The sequence below is a fragment of the Homo sapiens genome, chromosome 2 (assembly GCF_000001405.40).
Source record: "Homo sapiens chromosome 2, GRCh38.p14 Primary Assembly".
Classification (NCBI taxonomy): domain Eukaryota; kingdom Metazoa; phylum Chordata; class Mammalia; order Primates; family Hominidae; genus Homo; species Homo sapiens.
The window spans coordinates 66016942-66030580 of NC_000002.12; the positions used below are offsets into that span (position 1 = coordinate 66016942).

The 13639-nt window shown below is 41.0% G+C and overlaps 1 long non-coding RNA gene across 2 annotated transcripts in view; it reads left to right on the forward strand.

The window, feature by feature from the left end:
* The window catches only part of LINC02934 (long intergenic non-protein coding RNA 2934), a 298411-nt gene that overhangs the window by 226867 nt on the left and 57905 nt on the right, over positions 1-13639 (forward strand). The gene's annotated exons all lie outside the window — the stretch shown is intronic.

Genomic DNA, 13639 nt, shown 5'->3' on the forward strand with positions numbered 1-13639 from the left:
CTTCTTGGAAATTCTGACAACCCAGAAATACAGGGCCTATGAATGGTCTTGGTGGCCCCATCCCCTTTGGAGGGACAACATCTCTCCAATCCAGCATGGTCTTAACCTAGCCAACTTGACTCACTGAAGTGTCTGTCTCGTGCCCATGGATATTTACCTTTTTGACCTTTAGACACAGGGTGACTTGTTAGTAAAGGTGACCTTGCTGCCAGTCATCTCTCTTTGTTCTGCATGGTGTAAGTTGTGCTGAGAAGACTAGAACCCAACTTACTTCATCCACAAGGTAAATGCTCCACTACAAGCCTCTCTCCCCTACCTAATGTACCCAACTACTCCAAGTGGCTTCTGTCCATGGAGATTTGGCCTCACTTGTGGTTCAGGCTTGAGAGGTGTTGCTATTTGTGCCTAGTCTCCTGAGTCATCCTCTCCCCTAGAGCCCCCATAGTTAATACATTTTGTAACTACTTGTCCCCTTTGCTTTTCTTTGTTATACTAATTTGGTGTTTGGGTTTTGAAGTTAACATCAAAAGAAATAAAGCCTAATAGTTAAGAATTACTTTTTAAGCAAGAGGAAAAACACTGCTGAGAAAGGAGGGGGGAGCATGAGAGATACCCTAAAATCATTTGCCATAATTTTCTCCTGCACACGTTTCAGTGAGTGTATTTTCTGGCTGTACAGATGATGAAATAATTAAGGTCTAAAAAGTGGACTGTCTAGAAGGAATTACCAATGTTACCTGTCTGCAATAAAACTAGATGCATTTTGGAATCACATTCGTGGAGTGTAGAGTAATAAGAGGCTCTGAAAGCTTGTGAAGTAAATAATAAGGCAAATTATTTTTTGTTATTTTCTTTCCCAGCCCCCAAACTGGTCTTCGGCCTCTCGTGATGTTTTGTTTCCTTGGAGGCAGGGTTAGTTGGGGGACAGTCCCTCCACTGGTGGAATCCTGCACACAGCAACAGACAGGCTTGGGGAGAGCCTCTCTCTCTGGCCTAAGGAGAGGCCTGGTTGGTGTGGTTGCCAGCACCTCCTGGTTTGCCTATAATAGGTGGCTTAGTCACCTCTGGAGCACACACTCTACCCTACTTGAAAATATAGGAGAGGGGAAAAGCATGCTGTTAGAGAAGAAGTTAAAACTCCATTTCAGTAAATGCCATGGCAGCTCACCACATTCCATGGGATCTTCCTCACTGACCAGGTCTGTTGATCAAGAAATCATTTGTAGTGAGCACACTGTGTCTTCCTAGGGCCTGTACCACCTCAGGGACTTTCATAAAATAAGCACTTGGTAAAATCTGTGCAAGGAATGAATGGCAATTGAATTTTGGTTCACTCTAATCTACTCTCAGGATATTCATTTTTTCACACCTTCATTCACTCACTCATTTATTTATCCATTCAACAAATATATGCTAACCATATAGTCCATGCCAGGTGCTATTCTAGCTGTTGGGGATAGAGTGGTGGATAGGACAGGTTTGTGATCTCACAGATCTATAGTTTAGGGACAGAGACAGACAACAGACCAGGAAGCAAATACAGATAGGGAGAGGTGCACAGAGGAAAGTAAGACAAGGGGTGTGGGAACAAATGACTGGAGATGGTGCTAATTTGGATTGGGGGGTGGGGCTCAGGGAAGGCTGCAGAGGTGATATGAATGAAATTTGAGAAGATTTAAATAAAAAGAAAGGTCCAAGAATGCAAATTTCTGGGTAGAGTGGTCCAGGGAGGAACACCAGGGAGTGTCCTAAGGTAGAAGTGTGTTTGATGTGTTCAAGGAACCCAGAGAAAGCCAGAGAATCAGGGGGACTGGGATGAAATGAGATGAGAGAAAGACAGGGTGGACCACTGGGAAGGGTCTAACTTACTGCAACTGCAGTAGGAAGCAGTGGAGGCTCAAGGCAGGAAGCATGATGGTGAAATTTATCCTTGTTTAAAATCAATCCAGATTTTAAGTGGATAAACAAATTATCATGTATCCATAGAATGGAATATATGATAGAGAAAACAAATGGGCCATAAATCTGTATTCATAGCAATATGGATAAATCTTAAAAACATATCCTCCAGTGAAAGATGCAAGTCACAGAAGAACAAGGCCAGGCACAGTGGCTCATGCCTATAATCCCAGCATTTTGGGAGGCCGAGGCAGGCTTGAGGTCCGGAGTTTGAGACCAGCCTGGCCAATATGGTGAAACCCTGTCTCTACTAAAAATGCAAAAAAAAAAAAAAAAAAAAAAAAAATTAGCCAGGCATGGTGGCGTGTGCCTGTAATTCCAGCTAGTGAAGAGGCTGAGCCCGGAGAATCACTTGAACCCAGGAGGCAGAGGTGGCAGGGAGCCAAGATCACGCCACTGCACTCCAGCCTGAGCAACAGAGTAAGACTCTGTCTCCAAAAAAAAAAAAAAAAAAAAAAAAAATTAAAAAGAAAAGTCACAGAAGAAGATACACAGCATTATCTCATTTATGTAAAGTTCAAAAGCAGACTGAGGTAAACTATACATTTTGGAGGAGCAATTTGGGTTCACTAAAATATGACAATAAGTAGCCTCCTTCTTTAGTATTTCCATGTGATATAAATGGAGAGCGAAAGGACTGTGCTGATAAGAAAATACCTTAAAACTTAGGAGAGTGGACACCCCAGATGAGGGGAATGGAATGAGGTGGGAGGGGAGAAGATGATTGAGAGGTATTTGAATCTCATCTGTGATTTTTCAATTTTACCTTCATAATGCATGTATTAGTTTCCTCTGGCTGCAGTAACAAATTACTACAACTTGTTGGTTTGAAACAGTACGTATTTATTCTCTCTCAGTTCTGGAGGCCAGAGGTCTGAGATCAGTTTCATGGGGCAGAAGTCAAGGTGCTGATAGGGAAATCTGTTCCTTGCCTCCTCCAGCTTCCTGTGGCTGCCAGCATCCTTGACTGGGGTCTGTATTGCCCCAATCTCTACCTCTGTGGTCACACTGCTGCTTCCTCTTATGTGTGTGTAATATCCCCCTGTCTTTCTCTCACCAGGACACTTGTGATGCCATTTCAGGCCCTCCAGGTAATCCAGGGTCATCCCTCCAATACAGGATCCTTTCACATCTGCAAAGACCCTTTTTCCAAATGAGATCACATTTACAGGAGCAGGGCTTAAGACATGGATTATCTTTTGGGGGCTTATTTTCAGACGACCACAGTGCATTTATGTGCTTGTTGTATAATTAAAAAGAAAAGGTACTTTTTGAAGGGTGAGTAGAAAACAATGCCCCTGGCTGCTGGGCAAAGACTGTGTAGAAGGTGATTGGATTTGTCTAGGTGGGATGGGGCAGTAGCCTGGATTAAGGAGGTGGCAACAGAGATGACAAGAGTGAATGGAATCAAGATACAGTCTGGAGATAGTTTTTAGGAGTGGCTGGTGGGTCAAATGTAGAGAAAGAGGGGCATAGGAGGAGACAAGAATGACTTTTAAGTTTATGGCTTGGTAAAGAGAGGTGCTATATGCTGAGTTGAGAAACTCACAGGTAACTTCAGCTACGTCATACTTGCCAAATGCTAAATATATTTTCTGCCTTTTGAAAAATGATCAAAATTACTAAACCAAGAGTGTTTAGAATGTTAATAATTGAGTGGTTTCTCATTTGGAGCTATCAAGATCTGGGAAAGAGATTTAGTAGGATCACAAGGAAGACGAAATGTTTAGCCCATGGTTTGCAGAGCACCTAGCTCCTTCAGCAAATTGTGTGACACAACGAAGCATTAGAGACAATGACTGCCTGAATGACAGCAAATGGAAATGAGCCGAATTGGGTTCTGAGGTCTGGGTACGTGGGTGTAACTCCCCTGCACCTGACCACTGATATTTGCTGTCTCCATAGTGACTGGAGCTCTTATGTGATAGCTTCCACCTGTATACACAACTATAAGACAAAAGAATATTCTATATGCATCTTTTCACTTTTCCCCCAAATAGCAATAACACTCTTTATGGAAAACAAACGGTTTTATTTTACAAATACTGAACTGCTCTTTGGCCTACCAGAGACTTGGAGTCAGAAGACACTGGTTGCAGATCTGCCACTTGCCATGTGACCCTGGGCTTGTTACCCAATCTCTCCAGGTCTGTGTTTCCTCCTGGGATTGTGGTGAAGGTCAGAGTATGTGCTCAGTAAATGTCTGATATTACTACTATTACCAGCTTGGTTTCATAGGCTTTGGATGTCTCCTGGTAGTTTACTTTTATTTGGAAATGTTAAAATATAACATTTCCTTTATAATAAAAACAAGCCAAAAATGATTGTTATCCTTTTTTTCCCCTCTACCCTAGGTAGAGTCTGCCTTTAAAGATTGCTTATAAGTTAACAGTTGTAATATTCTTTCAAAGTCCTTCAAACAGAATTCAACATTTTCTGTTCTAATAGGTATTTTTTTTTACTCTGTTCAGATACACTCAACTATAGTTATCTGGAAAATTATTGCAAAACAACCCACCTGCTTTAGCCAGTGTTCTGTAGATCCCCGAGGCAAAAATGGGGATAATTACTCAGGAGGATTGTCAGGGAACAGTGATATCATCACTTAACTCTTTGCTAGGATTCCTAGTGCAGACTTTGCAAACAAATCAACAGAAAGCCTGTGAAATTCCATCTGGTTTGAGATCTCTTTGTTTCTAAAGCTAAATGATGTCCTGATAATCTCTTTGGCACCCATCCCCATTCCCATCCCTAAAATGTTTGTAAAGAAAGCAAATTCAGCAAACAAATTCCATGCAACCATTGCTGTCATATGAATTAGCAAACAAGATTTGGCCAATGTCTGCAAATGAAGAACATCCAAACTAAATTTGTAAACTTCATTTTTATATCATATTTCTAAAAGTTAAGTGGCTGAAATACATAACTAAGGGTTGTTTAAGGATAAAAGACATGGTCACAGGAAGGGCTTGAGCCAGAGCCATCTTGATTTGTTGTTCCTGTTTTTTATTGTTTGTTGATTTTCTCTCTTCTAGTGAGATGAGATTGTATTTTCCTTATGAATTTGCCGGCTTTAACAATTTGGTGTCTTTAGCTCCCACCCAGGTACTAACTGAGCTTCCAGGCTACTTCCCCTTTCAGTTACGAGCACTATCCTTCCCTTAGCCATGTGGGTTGGGGCTTCACAATGCAAGCAGGCTCCTCTAACAGGATTGCTTCTTTAAATGAACTCTAGATTTGGCCTTGGAGAGACTTAGCGCCGCCCCATTTCCTCCTGAGACTTATCCCAAGACAGCCCTGATGGAGCCTAAGAATTCAAAGTCCTTCAGGTCATAATTTCTTTTTCCTTCTGTCTAAGGAAACAGAAGCCATAGATTTAGCTCATGGGTTCTCTAAATGCAGTCCCTAGACCAGTAGCATCAGTATCACCTGGGAACTTACGAGAAAGGCAAATTGTTGCGTGCACCCTAGATCTCCTGAAATCGAAATTCTGGAGTTGGTGCCGGACGCTCTGTGAGTCTAATGTATAGTGAGGTTTGAGAGCCATATGTCTGGTTCAAGCTTGTCCAACCCACAGCCCATGGGCCACATGCAGGATGGCTTTGAATGCAACCCAACACAAATTTGTAAACTTTCTTAAAATGTGAGGGGTTTTTTTTAGTATTTTTTTTTTCTCATCAGCTGTTTTTAGTGTATTTTATGTGTGGCCCAAGACAATTGTTCTTCTTCCAGTGTGGCCAGGGAAGCCAAAACATTGGACAGCCCTGATCTAGTTCTTCCAAAAATTCAGAGAAATTCAATCAAAAGTTATGTGTTCTCTCACCTCCTCTCAGTTCTATTTTAGAGATGGTTAAATCAGACAAGTTGAGTCAAATGTCGACCAAAATACTTGATTCTGGCAGATACCTGATAAGGCTGTCAGAAATGCCCATCTTGGGGTCTGACCTCAAAACAAGACAAACATCTGGAACCTTTATTTTTGTATCTTCAGCTTGGGGATGTGGGTGGTAGAGGGGAAAGTAACTATCCTTTTTCCGATGGAAAATATTTAGCTTGAGTGATGTGAAGATTTCAGTAGATCTGTGACAAGATCAAAGACCATAAATTACTTAACAGTGGTTCTACTTTCGTGGGATTATTTGAAGTATCATAATTACAATTCAGCTTCCTGGCTTTCATTTTTGAGTCTGGAATTCTGTTGGGAGCTATCATAATCACTGAAGAGTATAATATTACAGACTGGGTATAAAAATATCTTTTTAATGACTAGCAAATTAGTGAAATGCCTCAACTTGGGTGGGGAACAAATAGAAGACGCTGTTTTTATGAAGGAAGGGGCAGAAAACTAAATTGTCACCACGTTGTTATTCTTGTTGAATTCTCCACTCCTTAAATTGTCAGTTGATTAGATAGAATTTGTAACACAGTACATCAGTATAAGTGATGAAGGGCTGTGTGGCAGGCAGAGGTGTCTTGGAACTTCTGCAGTTGTGGTTTGGTTTGAATTTTAGCAGGCACAGGCTGAAAATTAACATCAGGTGAGTCATTATATTGATCCCAGGTGTACAGTTCTACGGGCTCTTCTCACCTGACCAGGACAGTAGCAACAGGGCTTGTAGACCAAAAACATTTAAAAAATTAAAAATAAGCTTTCTAAAACACTAGGTTAGTGGGGCCCCATTACAATATTCCCCTGTAAATCAGACAATTACTTGCTGCACATATTTTCCAGTTTGTTATAACTTCTGTAACAGTTAACCTAAGGAGTTATAAATTCTGCTTGTGGATCAAAATCACAGTCTGCTTGTGTAGATTTATATTTCAAAATAGCATGTGTTCTGTTCACAGCAAAGGCAGAGCAGGTTCTGCCAAGTTTGTAACCTCACAGGTTTAGAGTTTTTGAAACCCCAAATTGAAATTCTTGTGGTATCAAGTCCATTTTCAAAAGCAGCTTAGAGTCTGAAGAGATGGCTCTTGACATCAATTAACTCTTTTTGAACCAAGGCCTTAGTGAATTAATTTTAAACCCAACCGCAGATGTAGCATAGTTCTTTTCTAGTACGCAAGCATTCAAAAGTGCAGGGTCAAACACACCTAATTAACTCATGCAGTGCATTTGAAGGTTTATTGAGTCTGCATTCACTTTATAAAACATCAAAAATAATATATACAAAACATGTCTCATGTTCAGTGAGTCAAGGACAAGCAAGTAAGAATTTATTGTAAAGCTCACACAATGCTGTCTGTATGAACTTTTAACCCACTGTGCCTATGCCTTGTGAATATTTATTCAAGGAAGAGACTCTGTGCTCACAACAAGGACATTCTGTTAATTTCCCCCTCCAAAATCTGATGTTGTTGTGCAAATGGGTAGTTTTCTTTCTTTAACAGTTTAGTGTGTTTAGCTCCCACCCAGATACTAACTGAACTTCCTGGCTACTTCTCCTCTCAGTTAAGAGCACTATCCTTCCTCTAGCCATGTGGGTTGGGGATTTACTGTGCGAGAAGGCTTCTCTAACAGGATTGCCTCTGAAAAGACTGTCCCACTCCTGCCCTGGACCTGCAGACAGCCCTTCTCTGACAATGAAGAAGACCGCACCTCCCTGCCCTTTCAATTCCTTGTTAAGCGAGCATTAACGCCTCTGTTAGCCACAGCTGGCACCAGGAATCCAGACACAGGTGGGTCTTGTTTACCTTGAGTCAGTCACGTGCTTCTCACACCCACATGGGATGATCCTTGGCTCCCAGGAGAGGAGGGGCTTGGTAGTTCACCCAGTTCACTCCGTTCTTTTAAACTGGCTCACAGAGATTATCCAGAGAGCCTTAGAAAGCCTGTGGTGACTCATTCCCAAGGAAGGACTTGCTTTCCCCCCTACCCATTATACAACAGTAGCTCTGTATATGTAAGTAGCTGTGTTGTGATATAAGGCACCCACATCATCTCAATTAATCCTTTTGTTTACATATTTCAACTGGCTAATGGACAACAGATTTAGAACTAGGGACTCTCATTCTGTTTCTCTTCCATGTTCTGCTGCCTCTCAATAGGGCCTTAATAATAACAATTACTGTTTTGAGTGTGCCTCCCAGTTCTGGAGCACTTTCTTGTATATGGAACCTGATGTGACCCTCAGAACAGCCCCATCAGGTAGGTGCACTAACTTTGTTTTATAGATTAGGAATTGGAGGTCTGAGAGGTTGAATTACTTGAATGAGATCACTCAGCTATAGGGTGAATTTAGGATTTGAACCCGGCTTATTCTTGTGGCAATTGCAAAAGCCATTTTTCCTTCTCATGCTTACACAGGTCTCTTGATGCCTATCCCAAAGCTCATCTGCATTATTGTTTATTCTTGTCCTTTCTTGTATGGATTCAAGATGTGCTCAGGATGGAAGCTTTGGGAGCTGAGTGTCCGTCACTTGTTCATTTACTACTTTTATTTCTTAAATGAATGAATTAAATCTATTTAATTATGTATATCAATTCATTAAATATATATTACATGTATAAAATGAGTTCATACATTGTGCTTAGAACAATGCCTGGTGCATAGTATATACTCAATAAATGTGAGTTATTTTCAGCCACTTATACATCATTTCTTGAGTTCTTGCTCTGTGCCCATCACTGAGCAGCCTCTACTGGGGAAACCAAAATAAATAATGCATGTCACCTTCTACTGTCCTAACATTGCACTTGTCCATCTTTGCTGACTAGATTGCAGCCTTTATGGGGTTAGGACATATCTGTATCATTTACCTTTATATCTCCAGTGTTTAGCACAGAGCCTGATGTGTCTTTGGTACAGAAAAAATATTTATTGAACAAATAGATGAATGCTTGGACACTGGAGATTTGGTAAGTTTCCAAAATCATCTCAATTTAGAAATTAAATCATACCATTCAGCTTGGGTTGTCATCATTATTTTCTTTGTTTTGTTGGGTGTCTGGATGACATCTATTCACATGTCTGGTGGACATCCTCTTCCTTCTGTGCTGCAGAGACAAACTCACCCTTGGCAATGCCAGGGAGGTGGCCTCCAGGCTCAAATCTCTTAAAGGCAATGACAGCCATGGGAAATCCACGGGTCCTTGTGTAATTGGGGCCTCAGGAGGTCTACTCCGGGATGGAGGAGTGCCTGGGAGTCATCTGTTTGGAGTTTTCAGCCTCTCCCTAAGAGGAGGACACTGTCCTTCCTTCCCCATTTCTGAGGCTTGAGCTCCATTTTTCAACTCTTCCAACATGTTGCTTTATAACTCTAGGCCAACAACCCAGACCTCCTGGACTTCCCCGTTTGCCCTCTTGGGAGGGGTGGCGGTACTCTCACTCCTTGTAGTTTGGTGGGAAAGTGTAGGGTGTGGAGGGAAGATATATTTCTGACTGCTTTTTCATACTGGGTACCTGACCGAAGGTCAGATTGCTGCTGCTGGTTGGTTGTTGTCAAGGCTAGGGTCTAGCTTGAGCTCATATACTGCAGTCTTTGCCAGCAGTGCTCCAACTTGCATATATAGTGCATTGCTGCATAATTGCCACATAGCACAGATTACAAAGGCCAAAATTCACCTAGGGATTTCTCCCAAAATGCAGCATGGTTTAAGTGAGCAAAGGAGGTGCCAGTCCCCGCTTATAGTCAGGATCTGTGGTACAGGGAGGATGACTTGTCCACCCTGGCTCAGACAAGGGAGGAAGCCCAGGAACACACTCTCTAATCTCATCATTTTAAAAGCTACTATTTTTGAGTACCTAATGCATGCCACGCCCCTTACACTTTTGTGTCATTTAAATTAATCATTTTTGCCAGTCTTGTGGAGTTAAATTAAAAACCCTTCCCCTCTCCCCCATGCATTTTTTAAAGCTCAAGTAATTAAACTTGGTGGAACTAAGTATTTTTCCTGCAGATAATAAAGAAGAGCTGGAATCTGAACCCAGTTTTAACCCCAAAGCATGAGTTCTTAACCACTTTAACATCCCACTTCATTTTCCATGCTGCTCCCCAGTGTACTTTGAAAGCTAATATAGCTTTCAAAGAGTTGAGGACAGACATCTTCATAGCTACCTTATTTTTCCACGACTTCCTTCCTAAAAAAAAAACAAAAAAAACAAACAAAAAAAAAACCCAGAAAACTGATGCTGGCTATGCAACCGATGTTGCACAGACTGCAAATGGCAGAGAGGAGTTGTCATCTTTTATGTTTTCTCTGGATTGGCTTCCAACAGGTCCCGTAGGAACTCTTATTGTGTACATGAGAAACAAAGCTAATACATTTCTCCCCTCCACTACCCCTCAGCCTCCGAAAAGTTAAGATATAAAAGTGAGAGCAGAAACAGTATCAAGCGTGTTTCTCTGGATGGTCCGTGCAAAAACAATGGAATTCCAAGTGGAGACTGAGTGAGTTCTGACAGGAAACTGGGTTTAATGTATAAGGTCTCCAGATTTCCTCATGCCACTCCAGCCAATCAGAAACTGATATCAACTCTCTTCTCATGGTTTAGCTGTTGTGCTGTCATAGTGACAACTTCACCTTCTGCATTTCAAACTCTGAGGAAAATTAGGAAAAACTCAATCTTGCTTTCTTCAAGAAAGAAAATTCTGGTTACGGTTGAGCAGATTGGAAAATGATCACACAACCAGAAGGTAATGTCAAATGTAAAACATCACCTTCTCTTTTTGCAGTTGGTTTAGCTTCCAGGTAGTGTGAATGTATGGAGTTGAATAAAATAAAAATTCAATTACTGGAGCAAGGAATTGAATTTTTATTAGGACAATACAAGACAGAAGAAATTCCAAAATGTCTAGAGCTGATGTGAGACTCCACTCCAAGGGTCAGATGGCACAGTGAGGAAGTGGGGACCATGTAGGTCTTCAGAACCAAGCCTGGGGACAAAGGGACAGAGCTTACTTTTGCTATTTGCTGCCTGCTGCATATTATGAAATTAATTAAATTCTCTGAGCTTCAGTTTCTTCATCTGCAGAATGGAGATGATACCTTCTTTGCAGGGTTTTGATGAGGATCAAATGGTGTAACATAACAATGCAAAACCCTTGAAATAAAGTATGTTTTCAAGCAATGTTAGATCCTTCCTGATATGGTTTGGATCTGTGTCCCTGCCCAAATCTCATGTCAAATTGTAATCCTCAATGTTGGAGGAGGGGCCTTGTGGGAGGTGATTGGATGATGGGGGTGGACTTCTTCATTGGTGCTGTTCTCATGTTAGTGAGTGAGTTCTTGTGAGATCTGTTTGTTTAAAAGTGTGTAGCACCTCCCTTCTCTCTCTCTTCCTCTCGCTTCAGCCATGTAAGATGTGCCTGCTTCCCCTTCATTTTCCGTCATGATCGTAAGTTTCCTGAGGCCTCCCCAGAAACTGATATCACCATGCTCCCTGTACACCCTGCAGAACCGTGAACCAATTCAAACTCTTTTCTTTATAAATTACACCATCTCAATTGTTTCTTCATAGCAACGTGAGAATGGCTTACTACACTTCCCCTCATTGCCTTTCCTCTCTTCTATAAAATAACCCATATCTCTCAGTTAGAGAATAACCCCTCAGAGTGTATTGGTTTGTGAGGGCTGCCATAACAAATATCACAAACTTAATGGCTTAAACACCAGATTTGACTCATGGTTCTGGGGGCTAGAAATCCAAGACCAAGGTGTCAGCAGGGTTGGCTCCTTCTTTAGCCATTTTATCATCACATTGATAACCTCACCTTTCTCGTAGTGAGAAAGAATCTATTCCAGGCCTCTTCCCAAAGTTCTGGTAGTTTGCTGACAATCTTTAGTATTCCTCAACTTATAGAAACATCAACTCGATCTCTATCTTCATCTTTTTTTTTTAAGGTATCAGATTGTTTTTATTTATTTATTATTTTACATTTTTTTTAATTTCAATAGGTTTTGGGAAACAGGTGGTGTTTGGTTACATGAATAAGTTCTTTAGTGGTGATTTCTGAGATTTTGGTGCAGCCATCACCTGAGCAGTATACACTGTATCCAGTGTATAGTCTTTTTTTTTTTTTTTTTTTTTGAGACGCAGACGGGGTTTCACCTTGTTAGCCAGGATGGTCTCGATCTCCTGACCTCATGATCCACCCGCCTCGGCCTCCCAAAGTGCTGGGATTACAGGCGTGAGCCACCGGGCCCGGCCCAGTGTATAGTCTTTTATCCCTCACAATCCCCTGCCCTTTCCCCCTAGTCCCCAAAGTCCATTGTATCATTCTTAGGCCTTTGCATCCTCATAGCTTAGCTCCCACGTAAGAGTGAGAAACAATGTTTGGTTTTTCCATTCCTGAGTTACTTCACTTAGAATAATAATTTCCAGTTCCAACCAGGTTGCTGTGAATGTCATTATTTTGTTCCTTTTTATGGCTGAGTAGTATTCCATGGTTTATATATACTACATTTTCTTTATCCACTCATTGATTGATAGGCATTTGGGCTGGTTCCATATTTTTGCAATTGCAAATTGTGCTGCTATAAACATGTGTGTGCAAGTATCTTTTTCGTATAATGACTTCTTTTCCTTCGGGTAGACACCCATGAGTGGGATTGCTGGATCAAATGGTAGATCTACTTTTAGTTCTTTAAGGAACCTCCACACTGTTTTCCATAGTGGCTGTACTAGTGTACACTCCCACCAACAGTGTAAAAGTGTACCCTTTTCACCACATCTGTGCCAATATCTATTATTTTTTGAATATGGCCATTCTTGTAGGAGTGAGATGGTATCGCATTATGGTTTTGATTTGCATTTCCCTGATAATTAGTGATTTTGAGCATTTTTCCATATGCTTGCTGGCCATTTTTGTATCTTCTTTTGAGAATTGTCTTTTCATGTCCTTAGACCACTTTCTGATGGGGTTGTTTTTTTCTTGCTGATTTGTTTGGGTTCCTTGTAGATTCTGGATATTAGTCTGTTGTTGGATTATAGATTGTTAATATTTTCCCCCACTCTGTGGGTTGTCTGTTAACTCTGCTGATTATTATTATTTTTGCTGTGTGGAAGCTTTTTAGTTTAAGTCCCATCTATTTATCTTTGTTTTTATTGCATTTGCTTTGGGGTTCTTGATCATGAAGTCTTTGCCTAAGCCAATGTCTGGAAGAGTTTTTCCGATGTTATCTTCTAGAATTTCTATGGTTTCAGATCTTAGATTTAAGTCTCTGATCCATCTTGAGCTTATTTTTATATAGGGTGAGAGATGAGGACCCAGTTTCATTCTTCTACACGTGGCTTGCCAATTATCCCAGCACCATTTGTTGAACAGGGTGTTCTTTCCCCACTGTATGTTTTGTTTGCTTTGTCGAAGATCAGTTGGCTGTAAGTATTTGGGTTTATTTCTGGGTTCTCTATTCTGTTCCATTGGTCTGTGTGCCTATTTTTATACCAGCACTATGCTGTTTTGGTAACTCAACTCTGGCCTTGTATTATAGTTTGAAGTCGGGTAATGTGATGCCTACAGATTTGTTCTTTTTGCTTTCTGCCTTCATCTTAATGCTGTGTTCCTCCTGTGTGTCTGTCTCCAAATTTTCACTTTTTATAAGGATGTCATTCATTATTAAATTAGGGCCCACCCTAATGACCACTTTTTAAATTAATCGCCTCTGCATAGATACTATCTCCAAATAAGTTCATTTTCTGAAGTATTGGGAGTTAGTACTTCCACATATGGATTTGGT